The sequence below is a fragment of the Homo sapiens genome, chromosome 8, assembly GCF_000001405.40.
Source record: "Homo sapiens chromosome 8, GRCh38.p14 Primary Assembly".
NCBI lineage: Eukaryota > Metazoa > Chordata > Mammalia > Primates > Hominidae > Homo > Homo sapiens.
In genome coordinates this window covers 138,250,236-138,265,850 of record NC_000008.11, presented here as the reverse complement: position 1 = coordinate 138,265,850, position 15,615 = coordinate 138,250,236, and the positions used below count along the sequence as shown (strand labels likewise).

General features: G+C 43.9%; 1 protein-coding gene across 14 annotated transcripts in view; it reads left to right on the top strand.

The window, feature by feature from the left end:
• FAM135B (family with sequence similarity 135 member B) overlaps window positions 1-15,615 on the top strand; it is a 367,708-nt gene that overhangs the window by 231,880 nt on the left and 120,213 nt on the right. For 13 of the 14 annotated variants that reach the window (NM_001362965.2, NM_015912.4, XM_011517062.2 and 10 more), the window contains 3 exons: window positions 9-148; window positions 9,092-9,162; window positions 14,837-15,010. In NM_001362965.2, coding sequence (NP_001349894.1) covers window positions 9-148; window positions 9,092-9,162; window positions 14,837-15,010 — 385 coding nt within the window. The remainder of the gene's footprint in view (window positions 1-8; window positions 149-9,091; window positions 9,163-14,836; window positions 15,011-15,615) is intronic. The other variant, XM_017013471.2, reaches the window with a different exon arrangement.

The following is a 15,615-nucleotide window of genomic DNA, read 5'->3' as shown; positions in this document are numbered from 1 at the left end:
TTTTGCAGAGAGCAGCAGCCTGCATTCAGCCTGTGTCCATGACAGCACCGTGCACAGCCGGGTCTTTCAGATCTTATACCGGAATGAAGAGGTACCCATAAATGATGCTGTGGTCTTCCGAGTTCATTTACTCTTGGGTGGTGAAAGGGTAAGTCATGAATCTACCACCAGCCACAAGTAGCTGTTCCCTATCATGGCTGTTCTCTCTCATTGCTAGGTAAATGTTGAAAGAAGAAGGTATGGGTTTACTTTGAAATCTGACAGAGATTAGTGCTTTTAGTGCACTCATGCACTTATTTATGTATTCGTTGTTTTACTCATTTTTTTATTCATATATTTGCTTGTTCCATGTAGTCTCAAGTGCAAACAGTCTCCATTGACTCATTTACTGGGTCTCTTCTTCCCTCCTCATTTGCCCAGTTGCACATCTGTTCAGGCCCTCTGTCAATGAGTCAAGCAGCAGGTGGTTTTGAGTAACTACTTTTTGCAGGGCTCTATGTGGGACCCTTGGGTAAGGGACAGAACCGGAGAAGGCAGCAGGAACTCTACCTTGAAAGGGTTGATAATTTTGCAGGAAAACAGATATATAAGCAAACACCTTGGCAGGTGATGTGAGAAATGATCTCTGTGGAGATGACAAAGCTGGGTTCATCAAGGCTTACACAAAAGAGCTGGCCTCAGATGCACATGCTGAATTCACCAGAGAAAGAAAGAGGAAGGGCATCGAACAAGGGGAAACAGCATCATTGCAAGCCCCGAGGCCTTGGGGAGCTCGCTTTATTAGTTGGAAACTTGATTGAAAATTTCCTATTCATCAGATTAACAAATTTCAAAGGAATATCTGAAGCTCAAACTTTTGATCTGCCTCCCCCAGCCTCACTGAAGTGTACCTGTTGCCATATTCGAGCTGATTTTTTTCTGCTAGAATATATCGAGAATTATATGAAAGAGTATTCCTATTTTAGGAAGTTCTAATTAGAAATCCCCTACTTGCATTCCTCATGTGGTGTGCACAACAGCTCCTATTGGGCATCTATTATCTTTCTCCTCTCAGGCTTCTTGGCTTTTTGTCCACATCTTTTGTTATCTAGGTAGTGACCAGATTCCTCTTTGTGGCTAAAATTGAAAAGCTGTCACTCATTCTTTATTCCTTAACCTATCTATTCTTTCAAAAATTTATTGAGTACTCACTAAGCACCTACTATGTGCTGGAGGTAAAAATAGTGAACATGACATATCTCTGGCATTTTGGACTTGTTTTCTAATATTAGATCAATATATCACAATGTAATTAAATAAATCGATCATGCATATTCTATTACTGAGCCTTCTCACTGCTACATACTCAGCTCCCTAGTCTCTGAGACACACTCATGAGGGAGATAAGAGTATAGGAGTTTGCACCCTCACTGGAGGCCCCGTGAAGCTACAACTGTACCCAAAGTGGAAGAGACCTCATGATGGTCCTGCTGTGCAAGACTGGCTGTTGTCTCATGACAGATACTCAGATAGTGAGAATGTCAAGAACTCAGCACAACCTTCAACACAACCTTCACCCAAGATGATTATTCCCTGGAGGACAAGTGACAGACAGAAGAGGCCTCCCAGAGAAGCCAATGCAGAACTGAGACCCAACTGCGGAGGAAGATTCAGGCATGCCATGAGCTCAGGGAGATATCAGCTCTGGAGGAGAGCACAGTAAGGACAAAGAGCCTGAGGTGGGAATGACATTGGGGTGTTTCAGGAAAAGCACTAAGGCTGAGGTGACTTGCACAGAGAGGGAGGGGAAAGGAGCAGGAGATGAAGATGGAGCAGGGAGGCCCAGCATTGTGGGCCATGATAGGGAATTTAGGGCTTATTCTTGGGCAATAGAAATCCACTGATTTTGTTAGAAGGGTGCAATGGCACAATTTTTATTTTAGAATTTTGTCGTCCCTCTCCCAGTCTGCAAGCTCCACAGGATTGTATCTCTCTTTGCATCCTGAGTGCCCTAGTAGCCATAGGACTACACTGTGGATACCCAACATGGAGTGAATGACTTAGTTGTTGAATGAATGAATTTAACTTGTAATCCCTTCTTTTTAGGCTCTTTGCAAGCTATTCTTTCCAAACAGGGATGAGCATCCACCATGTGCCCTGTTTGATGGCCCTTGACTCTCTATATCATGTCCAGACCACAGTTGCCTGCTTCAATACCTCAAGAAACACACACCTCACTCATTGGAGCCTTCAGTTAACCTGACCCTGTCTCCCTTATGCCATCACAGTGACTGCAAATACTTGATCTGAAATCAAAATTTAAAAGAACAAATGAAACTCCTATTAGCCATGCTGGCTAGCTTTCGACTACTTGGCCGTTTCCCCTCTCTGCTGTCCCACCTGCTATGTGCCCCAAGAGACTGGCTGCAAGAACTGCTCAGTCGTGTCTTTACCTTTTGGTTTCCATTGAGTTCAGCCTATGAGAGCTTCTGCAAGTGACTACGAGGAGAATGGGTCCAGACTGTTCACTCCCCAGGCTCCTTCCCTGCAGGGTCCTGGAGGGTTGGCTGTGTCCGGCGGTGTGCTGGAGCCTGCTTATATCAGCTTTTGATAGCCACGGGTACGGACCACTTTCCAACTCCTTATTTAGCGACTTCACATTCATAGCTTGATGAAAACATTTACACCGGAGAAACTGCCAATGCTACAAAACAGTGTTTTGTTTTTTTTTAATTTTAATTTTTCTTCAGAGAGCCAGTTGTTAAACCTTTGCCAGCATACCATTTGCTGTGTCCTTCTTCCAAAGGCCCCAGCTCCAGTCACGGAGACACACTCCATGTAGCTTTCTCTCCAGTTCTGATAACCGCTGTCTCTGCTTGACTCTTCAGGCCTAGGATGATAAGGAAGTCCCGTAGTTACTAACCTTGAGAACTCAGCCATTGTTAGTTGCTTTTTTTTTTTTTTTTTTCTGAGACAGAGTCTCCCACTGTCGCTCAGGCTGGAGTGCAGTGGCATGATCTCAGCTCACTGCAACCTCCGCCTCTTGGGTTCAAGTGATTCTCCTGTCTCAGCCTCCTGAGTAGCTGGGATTACAGTGGCCCGCCACCATGCCCGGCTAATTTTTTTTGTATTTTTAGTAGAGACAAGGTTTCACTATGTTGGCCAGGCTGGTCTTGAACCCCTGACCTCGCGATCCACCCGCCTCAGCCTCCCAAAGTGCTGGGATTACAGGTGTGAGCCACCGCGCCCAGCCGTTAGTTGCTTTTTCTAAATCTTCCACACACTTTGTAAATCACCCCTTTGATAAACTGTACCTGGAGTCCTCATGTTGAGTGTATCCTCTAATTCCTTCCTGGACTCAAGTTAATACCTTTAGTTTAGGAAACAATACCATTAGGTTGCCTAGAGTGGTAATAAACTCCCAGTTAAACAGACTGCAAGCTCAAGGTCCACTTCCCCAAATCCCAATAAGAAAACAATGCTCCATTTTTTCCCGTGGGCCTTTGCCCTTGGGACATTGATCTCAAAGAGCTACCCTGGCAGAGTGCTAATGACAAACCAGTGATGGAGGCTGGGTTTGGGCATTATTCAGGTATCCTGGCCATTGCTCCATCTTAATTCCGTCAGAGAATTGTTCTTGTCCCTGACAATTTAAAGCCTTCAAGTTTGACCTTCCCAACCCTCAACCTTAGGTCGTGTGAGGTTGTAGCCAGCCTTAGTTCTCAAGTTGAATGGGGAGTCTATTTCACATTACATGTTGTTTTCTTCTTCCTATCAAATTTCTTTTCTCTGTAAGCTAATAAATTATTATTGTGTTGGGGGTAATCCATATGGCAGCAAACAATGGCACAGCTAATTGTTATATACAAATCAGGGATAATAAAAGTTAATTGGATATGTCTGTAAACACTGTATATTTGGAATGGATGCATTTCCAGTTAGTATCAGTCTGCTTATGACAACCAAAACACTGCTGATAGCCAGTTGGCCAGAAATTATGTTCACGGATGCACATAGACATCATTGTGAACAACAGACATTTATGAAATGCCTATTCATCAAACACATGATTCCATGTGCTATAAGAAATTCAGACATGAAGATTCAGTTGTGCAATGAGGTCACAGATAAGTACAAGAGATGACCATGGACAGAACTAATCACAAGTTAAGGTGTACGAGGAGATGTTATAATAACAGTTGCAAAGAGTGAGTCTGGAGGTAGTGTGTGTATTTTATTTATATACTCTGCGTAATCCCACAGAAGATTTGGGAAGCCTTACAAAATGCATAGAATAGTAAAAAGAAAAGTTAGCAATGGAATGGGGCAGAGTGGAGGAAAAATACATACAGGAAAATAAAGGCTGGGGTAAATGTATTGGACCAAAATGCACAAACACCCTCTGGATATTTGATAGTGGTGACCCATGTATTTAGTGCTAAGCTCCTAGCAGGCAAAGCAAAGAAGAAGATACAATTATTAACAACAAAATGCTTGCCACTCTGAGGAAGAAGAGGAAAAGATTACATATGAAACACATTTTATGAGCAAGATTGCATTTTCGTAGGCTTAAAAAGGAAAAGCATTTTCCAAAGTGTGATTCCTTGGTGCACCGGCATCACAGTCCCCTGGCAGTACTCATACAAAATGCAGATTCGTGAGCCCAGGCCAGACCTGGTGATTCAGACAGAGGTGGGCTTGTTTTTTTCTTTTTCTTTTTTTTTTTTGCTGGAAGCAGAAAGGGGGCTGAGTTGATTCAGAGTTTTTGGATAAGTAGAAAAATGGGCACGATTTCCACAGTAACCAGTTGTTAAGAGCTCCTGAGACAGAAGACAGCAAGGCCCATAAAAAGCAGTAAAGTAGAAGGCAGATTTGGGAAAGAAAGCATTGTTGCTAAGGGGCTAGAAACTGGCAGGGACACAAAGCTAGAGAGGAAGGTTGAGGACACAGCACGGAGAGCCACAGAGACTCCGCCAAAGGTCATATTTTTCCTTTTTAAAGGTAGGAGTCTCCTTCAGGACAGAAGGAGGAGACCTGGCATTTAGAAAGGTCAGTCTGGCAATAATATAGAAAGTGGGGCCCAGGAGACCAAGGGCATACAGGCAGTTGCTGCTATAGTGCATGGTGTCTTGGTGAGCATCATGGCAGAGGTCGTAACTGTGTAAATGGAAACTGTGTGAGTGGAAAGGGTGAGCTGCCTGGCCACCAAGTGCAGCCCTTAGGACTGGGTTCAGGTTGAGCATTGGCAGGCATCATGTAGAGAGGAATGATAAATGGAAGTTGACTCTAAGATTTGGCCATGAAATGGGCTTGGAGTTACTGATACTCCAGGGTAGTTGGGAGAAGAAAAGCTTCTACTAGGGAGTGAAAGGAGTTCAGGATGAGTTATAAGAACAGTCACAAGGATCTTAGCACTAACAGCAGAGGCAGTGCCCCTTTCGCGGGGGCACTAGCTGTGGGGGGTCTGTTCCTGCAAGCCCGTGATTCGGCGATGGATGAATAAACATACACTGACACAGATATTCTGCTCTGCCAGTCCAGCTGAGGGGCCCAGCGGCTTACAGGCTCCAAGCTGAGTTCTGTAAACAGTTGCGACTCAGCCCTGGTCAGTTAGTGAGGCTCATATTTATTCAGTAAGACTAATTAACAAAAGTTATGAGTAAACACCACTAGAGGGTAAAGATTAAAGGCCAGGTTCTCAGGCCTAAAGCAAACACAGTTTGTGGGTAATAAACTTCTGCTGACCCCTGAGTAGGAGGCAGTAAAGTATCCCTAGTAGGACAAAGGTTAGTCTTAAGCCCATATAAGTAAACAGGTTAGTAAGATAAACTTCCCATGTTCCTTTGTACTTGCACCCTAATCTTTCTGGCTCCTGCAAAGAGACCCTGGCTGCCTTCAGCCAAGCAATCTGAAGCTACGCAAACTCTCAGGCCTTCCAAGAGAGTTTTTGACTATTACTATAGCTATCTTTAATATTTTTCCCACCAGCCTGATTGAACTCCAACAAACAGCATCTTATACCTATAAGGTATGTGCTGTATGGCAGGCACTGTGCTGATTTTTTTGTCTGGAATACCTCATTGAATTATTGCAACAAGGTGATGAGGTGTTTTACTACTCCTGTTTTACAGATGAGGATACAGTGACTTAGAGAAGGCGTTTATCTAAAGTCATACCACCCGGAAGTCGTAGAGCCAGGGTTTGAACCTGGGCCGTCCGATCACAAAGTCTGTGTTTGTGACCAGTGTGCAGGATGGGCACTATGTGAGGCTGATAGAGGAATGTGTCCCTCCTGTGGCCAGCCCCCATGGTTGAAAATGACAGCAATAATAATAGCTAACCTTTGTTGAGAATTGTCAGTTCAGTTGTGAACAAAGCCCTTTGTGTACGTTTTTAAATTTTAGTTCACACGATAACAATGCTTTGCAAGTAGGTGTAATTATTTTACTCCCATTTTATGGATGAGAAAACAACAGAGAGGTTGATTGGCCCCAGGTCTCATAGATATGAAATGATAGAACTAAGAGTCGTACACGTGTATCTGGGTTTCAGAAGCTGCCCTCTTAGCCATCACGCTGTGACAAAGCTCAAGTTAGTAGCTAAGAATGGAGGAGAAAACAAGAGAGTCACCATTATGAGTTGAAACCAAGCAGTGAGAGAACGTCCAATCTAGAACACACATGTGACCATGGGAGAAGGCCAAAGAAATGGAGCCCTTGACAGCATTTGGGATGTGGGACTCTCACTAGCTGAGTTTGGGAAAATGCCTTTACCACAGGGAGCCTCAGTTTCCTCATGTGTAAATGCAGGACAGTCTTTCCTAACTCATAGTTTTATCCACATTAAATAAAATAGTATATGTATAATGATAATTTATTACCTGCCAAATAATAACTCTTCTGTAAATGCTAGCTTCTTATATTATTTCTACTAGTTTGCAAAACTGCTTCCTGGTCGTGAGATAAATGACCCTTGAAAGGAGATGATGACTCTAATTGAGATAAGGCAGAATAAAGGAAAATCATTGTGTGTATGGTGTGTGTGTGTGTGTGTGTGTGTGTGTGTGTGGTGTGTGTGTCTTTTTGAAGGGAGGGGTAGGAAGTCAACAACCAACCATGAAATAAATGTTTAGAAAAGGCAGTGACTTCATTCTGGAATATCTTGCAAATAAGATTCATTAAAGCATTGTAAAGTCATAGCCCAGCTCAATTTAGCCACAGCTTATCCAGGAGAATGATTTCTCTCCCAGTTCCTAAGGAAATTGCAGCAAGTTTAAAATTGGAGTTTACTTTGAATTTTCATTACCCAGGCATATGCGTGCTCAGAAGGTAGTTGGGAAGCTTACTTTGCCAGTCTCTCTTCCTGGTGACAAGAGGCTGCAGTGCTTTCCTTGTGTATTTGAGGCTAGATTCATGATTATGCAAAACAAAGCTAGGAAAGGAAGTTATTTATAGCACTTGGATTCAGCAAAATGTTAACTTTTAAATGCTTTTTTTAAATAACAAATTTTAAACCCTGGAGACCTAAAGATAAATTCCATCTGTATATCTCTCCATGAATTATGCTTAACCAGGAATACATTTCCAAAGAGATCTTTGGTTAAGAGATTTCCATCCCAGGAAGATGAGATTCTTGCAAAGAAACAAAAACCAAAAAAGGTGGGGATTGGGAAAGAGCTTTATTTATTCCGCAAAGATGCATTGATACTTTCTATGCAGCAGACACTATTTCTGGAGCAAGGGATCAAGAATGAATTAAAACTAGTCTCTCTCTTAATCATATAAGGATTACTGGGGACACTACACAAGAAAATAGCCAGGGGCTTTTAGCTGCAGGCCAAATGCGTGTCAGTGAATACTGTGAATGGTGGTAGACGGGACAGCAATTACCTGATCTGAACAGTTTCCAAATGAGTTTCTAAATGCCAGCCCAGCACTCCCAAGTCCAGGGTTTTGTTTTGTTTTGTTTTGTTTTATTTTTTTTTTTATTTTTTATTTTTTGTAGAAGCTGAAAACCCGTAATACAAATATGAAATTGCCTGAATTGTAAATGTTTGCAATTTGTTCAAAACATTTTCAAAAATACTATGGGGTCTAAACAAGACACATCAGCAGACAATACTTGGCTCACAGGCTTCCAGGTTGTAACACTGCCTCCAAAATTGTAATAGGCACCGTTAAATACCAAGATAGACAAGACATGGGCTTTGTGGTTACGGATGAAAAGGGCTTCATCCTGCCTGTGAATGAGGAGGAGACCAAGTCCTATCACAGGTGTGCAGAACTGACGCTGGGTTGACCTCTGAGTAGAGGTGGTGGCGAGATCTGGTATTTAGCAAGTAATGCCCCCTTGAGTTGGGGGTGATGTGAGAAAAAGAGAACTAGGGGTACCATCTTCCAGGTGTATATGAGAAACTGACACGAAGAATAAAGATTCCTGTGTTTAAAAAGCATGTTTTTTTTTTCTTAAAGCAAAGGACAAAAGCAGCCATGAGTAGGACATAAAATGCCAGTGTCTTAAAGTGACAATGGTTAAATACAATGGATTTCAAGACAAAAATGAAGAAGCTGCTTTCTTATGAAGCTGGGACGCCTGAAGAAGTGACCACTTTCCCAAACATGAGCTTCCTCCTCTGGACACGTGGGCAATGGTGCCTGCCCTGAGAGGATGCCTGAGGGTTAGAGATGACATTGCTCTGACTTAATCCCATTGCTAGCCAAGTGGGATTTCACTGCGAGTTCACTGCTCCATCCTTCCCAGAGCAGGTGCTACAGAACACTTTACTCTTGCCCCAGATGGGATTCTAGATCAAATCCAAATGAGATTCTCAAAAGCCCTGCAAAAAGGAAACTTGTTTAGCATTTTTTTTGCAAACTGACTTCTCCCAAACTGGGTATGTATATCCCTTCTATTTTTCTTTTTGTGTAATACTCTCAGATATCCTGTTCACCCAGAACTCCATGAAACATGCATGGAAATTCTGCTTTCAGCATAAATGACATTGATTTTTGGACAAGATAGTGTTTCTCTACTTTGGGAAGTAGACCAGCTAAGTATTTCATTTGGACAAGATTTGACTCCTGAAATCCCTTGGACTTTGTTTCTTTTGCAGATGGAAGACGCACTGAGTGAAGTAGATTTTCAACTCAAGGTGGATCTGCACTTTACGGACAGTGAACAGCAGTGAGTGTCATGGAAATTATTGAATTGTAGTAGCACAGTGCTCTCCTCCCCGCTTCCCCACTCTTGGGATAGCCTCATAGCCTTGAACCTCAGAACGTCTCTCAGATCAGCATCTCCTGATAAGCTGCAATGTCCCTGACTCAGGGGTGCGGGCTAAGAAAGTTTGTGTGGTCATTTCAAACCACATACGTTTTAGTCAGGCAGCTCAAATGCATACACAGAAATCTCATAACTTATTGGCTTTACTAACTGGCACTTTCTCATGTCTGACACCTTCACACATCTTACAATGTGATAGAAATTGGGGGTTTTAGATTAATGACCCTATGAGGCTACAAATGGCAAATCCCCTTCTGAGTCAAAGGAGATTCTTCCAGGATTCTACATCTTTGTGCGACATATCTGCTATTATGTTTCAACTCTGAAACTTGAAACTCCATTTATCTATAACCTGCTCATTAAATGCAGGAGGCAACTTTCTTCTTTCTTGGAACTGCTTTCTTTTAGCTTGTTCTGTGACCTCTTCTTCCTACCCTGGGCTGAGCTGTCAGGCCAACTAAGCTGGGATATTTCAGCTAATAAGTAAGTCATCCTTTTTTAGGTATGAAAAGTCCAGTGAAGTATAATACCAGAACTCTAAACCTCATCCATTGTATAACTTCTTTCTGTTGCCTCCTTTCTCTACCTCACCTCCAGATCCAGGCTTCCCTAGGGTAGAAAACTCCCAGTGTAGGAACAGGGCATGGTAGGGGGCTTCATATCCCCCCTTTCTTTCCCACTGCAGTTTGCAGGCTTTGCAGGGTCAGGCACAGTAAGGAGGGGAACAGTGGAGGAAAGGGTAGGGGTTCAGTTGTAAGTGCGATTGTCATATGGTAAACCCTGAACTGCCCTTAGGATGTTCTTGTGAATTCCTTAGAAAGAGACTGCTTAGGTACCCCCTGGCCAGAAGACAGTCACACAGCCCCATCCCTGCAGTTATCTGATGTAGTGATGCCTCACAATAGCTGGGTGACTCATTCCTTGCAGTTAGCTCTTTGGGGGTGGATACTTTTCCAAAGCACACACATCTGGCCCATGGGAAAAGGACACAGACACTTTAACCCTCATTCCACATATGTGGAGAACCTCCTCTGCCAAGCCTGCTCGTTCTTGTTTAGACCAGTCCAGCCACCCTCAGCTTCTCTCCTGATGGCCTTTGCAGAATGAGTTGAGCACCAGGAACTGCATTCCCACTGTTCTAGGGGAGACAGGGCAATCTCCCTTGAAGACCTCCTCCCTTGGCTTAGGCAAAGGGAGGAAATCTCCTTCTTTCTCTGTTAGCAGAATCTCAGCACACACTGACCACTATCTGCAAATTAAAGTCAATTCTCACTTCTGGTTTCTGTAACCTCTCCAACAAATGTTTCCCCTTTTCCTTTGGAGAATGGGGAATTGGGAAGCTGATGAGCCAATGCTGGCAGAACTGTTCCCTTTATCCCTTCAAAGTTCAGACTTGGCCAGGGGCAGTGGCTCATGCCTGCTATCCCAGCACCTTGGCAGGCTGAGGTGGAAAGATTGCTTGAGCCCAGGAGTTCAAGGTTACAGTGCGTCCTGATTGTACCACTGCACTCCAGCCTGGGTGACAGAGCAAGACTGTGTCTCAAAAAAAAAAAAAAAAAAAAAGTTCAGATTTCTTCTCAGAACTTCTTCCCCTTCTCAAGGACTGTCCTGTCTCTGAAATCTGTCTAATCCATTATGGGACTGTTCATAACATGGGCAGCTGAGTCCAAGGGGATTTGAACCAAAGATGGATGTCTACTGAAGTGTCAGGGACTTGATCATGTATGGGAATTGAGAAGGGGCATCCGCTGATGTCTTGCCTGGTACCTGGGCTGGCAGGAGTATCTACCTTGTTCGTGCCACAGTCTGGGTTCAACTTCACAGATGCCTCACTTTTGTCTCTATCTGGACCCCAGTCCTCTGGCCACCTGCTTTTCTCATTACATCTGCTTTCTCCTTAGCAGGATAGTGTAGAGACTTGAGGAATCCTACCTGCTTCATCCCATTGCCAGGACTTGTTCTAGCACCATACTGAACTCAGAAGCCCTAAAAGAGGCTGGCCTTCTTCCCAAGCTATAAACTCAGAAGTAAAGCCCTGACTTTATTGTGCTCCTATTTTCCCCTAACCATCTGGGGTTTCTGTCATTAACGCCTCCATTAACCCACCCCGCCCTATCACTCTGTTCCACTTCCTTCCAAGACATTCATTCATAGCTTTATGGTAGACATTTCCAATTCATCACAGAACCCTGCTGCTAACTCCAAGCTCAGCCTAGAAATCAGCCTCCAACCTGCCCTCCATGTGATAAGTCACAGTGTATACAGTACATGAGACCTTCTGTTCAACAAAACAGTAGTTAATGGAGAGCCTTTATACAGGAGATTGGTTTATTCAAAGTGTGTAAAACTCAACAACTATAAAACATTGGAGAAGTCCCCACACTTTCATAAATCTCAGTAGTTTCAGTTACAAAATAGATGTCATTATAGAATACATACCTCATAGGTCTGTCTGATGATTAAGAGAGACAATATATGTAATAGGCCAAGTACGCAATCTGATGAATAAATGTCTTCTTCCTCTTTATGGCTTCCTAGTTGGAAGTGAGGCCAGGCTTCAATGTGTTGCTTCCTCTCCTGAGCACTTAATAATAATCAGAGCAAGGGATTTCATGAACTATAAGATTAGCTAAGAGGAACAGGAAGCCAGAGGCTGGGAAAGATTGAAAATGCCACATTTTTTAATTTTCATAAATTGAGTTTAAGGATGACAAGGCATCTGTGGCATATCCTGGGGTGGACATTAGGCTCTGAAACATGACCAAATCATCTGGCCTCTTTAGCATCAGGTAAGTCTGGGTGGGAACAAAATGGAGAAGCAGAGCCTCTCATATGAGGGACGGAAGAGCTTGTGAAATTTGTCTTGTCTGGCGGCTCTCAATGCAGGCAGGAGGATTCTGACCCCTGGAGACATGTGGCCATGCCCAGAGACATGTTTGGTTGTCACAGCTCGGGAGGATGCTTGAGGGGAGATGTGAGCAACAATAAGGGCGGGGCTTCACTTCTGACTTTATAGATCAGAAAGAAGGCCAACCTCTTCTAGGGCCTTAGAACAAGTCCCAGGGATGGTGTGAAGCAGACAGGATTGTCACACTTAGATATTGCCATCTAGTGAGTAAAGGCCAGAGATGCTGCTTCACATCGTAGAGTGCACAAATCAGCAGTGCCCCCTCCCACCACAAGAAAGCATGATTCAGTCCCCAAAGTCAATGTTATGAGGTGAGGAAACCCTGCTTTATCCTAACCTCATATTTGTACTTGTTACTCTGCAAAGACCCATCAGAACCTGTTTGCACAGGGATGGGGAGCTCACTCCTTCACGTCATGGCCCATTCTGCCCTGAATAGTTCTGCTGATCGGGAAATTCTTCTTTATTTCAAGGAACAATTCATCCCTGTGCATCTGCCCTCAGTAGACTTCAGTTTTATCTCTTGTGACCACCCAGACAAATCCCAAGTCTGGATGGCAGTTTAGAAAAGAAGCCTTCTTGGCCAGGCAAGGTGGCTCGCACCTGTAATCCCAGCCCTTTGGGAGGCCAAGGCAGGAGGATCACTTGAGGTTAGGAATTCGAGACCAGCCTGCCCAACATGGTGAAACCCCATCTCTACTGAAAAATACAAAAATTAGCTGGGCGTGGTGGTGCACACTTGTAATCCCAGCTACTTGGGAGGGTGAGGTGGGACAATTGCTTGAACCCAGGAGGCAGAGGTTGCAGTGAGCCGAGATTATGCCACTGCACTCCAGCCTGGCAGCCTGGGTGACAGAGTGAGACTCCATCTCCAAAAACTAAAACAGAAACCTTGTTTATATCATCTCCAGGTTAAATACTAGGGCTCTTTCTGTGTGTGTTTTTTGTTTGTTTAATTTTTTTGTTTGCTTTATTTCCCTTATAAGAACTCAGACACTCTCCTATCAGTGCAGTCAAGTTTATCACCATCATTTCAGAGCTTAGAGACCTCCCTGCACCACCACCAGGACCTAAGTTTTAGCTCCATTTTGGATATATCTATTTCAGAGCACAGGAGAGCTACCACCTCTCCATTCTTAATTCTTTACTCTTACTAATGTGGCTTAAATTCTTGTTAACATTTTTGCCATCTTTGCGACACTGACATGTATTTAACCTCCTGTTGTTCAAGCCCTAGGGTTATATCTGTGATTCTTGGGAACCTGTGTCTGACTGGATTCAAAGCAATAGTGAGCAGTAACTCAGAAACAACTGTGAATCAGGAAGACCTGGTCCAAGATTACATTTTTGCCTTGTGGCTTTGATTAACTCTTGTTGGCTTTACTTCCTTTTCTACAAACAGAATAATGCCAATAAATACCTCCTGTGATTGCCATACAGAGTAAAGGGGAAAGTACCATGTTCAGTTCATAATAAGCTCTCAACAAATTGTAGCCTGAATTAAAAAGAATGTAAATGTTAACACCTTGCTGAGATTCATGGCCTAGACCCTTCACCCTCTCCCCGACAGGTTTCTTTCTGGTACCAGGGGACCATTATTCATATTCAATCTATGGAGTCACCCTGAGCTCTAAAAATTTAGCTGGCTATTTCACTTGGCCTTTGTTTGCGCACAAGGAACAAGGGTTTCAAGGAAGCAAAGCCTATGGTGTTGGGTCTTAAGAGACTGCTCCCTTCATCTCGCCCTTTCTGTGCTTCATTTCCTTATCTATGGATGGAGGACAAGCATTTCCTCTCTGCTCTTCTCATGAAAGATGCTCCTCCCAGGTTTCCCTTGTGGTCTGCTTCAGAGAAATTTGCCCAGCCCAAATGACTGGTTCTCAGGATTTGAGATTAGCACTGGGTCCTCCTGGGGGCGAACGTGGCCCCAGGTTTTATTTAGGCAACAACCAATGTTCTTTTAATCACCAAAGATGCTGTTGGGTCGTGTGCCAGTTGGTTTAATCTCTTAGACTCAGATACATGTCAATTACAAAATATTGGAGCAGACATTGGGGAATCCTTGATGAAACTAGTCAGACTATCTAAGCATTGTGCTTTGGGAGTCATTCATTCTTTTGTTCGTTCAGTCAGTCAGTTGTTCATTTTAATTCGTATTTATATTCTCAATACCTGCCAGATACTAGGCTAGGTATTGGGACTATAAAGACGCATTAGTCATAGTCCCTTAAGAGGTAGGAATCTGTTAGAAAACACAGGGTCACACAGTCAGTGCAGCGTTATGAGGAGAGCACTGGACATCTGGGCATCTGTTGGGGAGATAAAGAAGTGGAAAAAGTAGGAGGCTTCAATGTTGAAGAGTCTTTAAAAGCTAGTCTGGGCTTCTTATCCATCACTGACACATGAACTTGATGTCCGTGACAGTGGAGCATGTCACCAGATCTGTTGTGTAGCAGCTGTGTGATATCTAGTGATACCTGTGAGCCATGGTTTTCTCATCTGCCAATGGTGGGAAAAATGATTTCTACCAGGCAGAGCATTTGCAGGATTGAACGAGATGATGTATGCATGGTGCTTGGCCCATGGAGAGGCTTAATACAGACATGCTAGGAGGACAGCAGGGGCAACCCACCATTTCTCACGTGAGCTCACATGCTTGCCTTCTAGGTTGAGGGATGTGGCTGGGGCACCGATGGTCAGCAGCCGAACGCTTGGCCTGCACTTCCACCCCCGGAATGGTCTGCACCACCAGGTCCCGGTCATGTTCGACTATTTCCACCTGTCTGTGATCTCGGTGACCGTCCATGCTGCCCTGGTGGCTCTGCAGCAGCCATTGATCAGGTATGAAGTTCAGAGGCAGCCCTGATATGTGGGAGCCACCTTCCATTGCAGGTGTGGTAGAGGGGCAGGGAGTTTTCCAGGAGAGATCAGCACACGCAAGGGAGTTTCTCTAAGGCTGCAGGTTTAAGCTTTGGGCCTCACTGAGGAGCATGCGAGAGAGGAAGGAGGAGGTCCCAAAGGGAGACTGGTGTGGAACCCGGAAGTCGAAAACCTGCAAACTATGGCTTACACCAGGAAGACTTGGAGTCTGGCTTCACATTTTTCTAACTGTGCCTTCTTTGAGAAGTCATCTAATGTTCCTGAGCCACATAATCCTCTATGACAGGAACACTAATGTGTGTCCCATCTACGTAAGATTTTAGTGAATCTCAAATGAAGATGGTACCAGGCACATGTTAGGGGCTTAGTTTTCTTTTTCTTCCCCAAGTTGTTATTTGTTCAAATGTAGAAGGTTCATTCATTTGTTTGTTTGTTTATTTACTTATATGAGATGGAGTCTTGCTCTTGTTGCCCAGGCTGGAGTACAATGGCACCACCTCGGCTTGCTGCAACCTCTGGTTCCTGGGTTTAAGCAATTCTCCTACCTCAGCCTCCCGAGTGGCTGG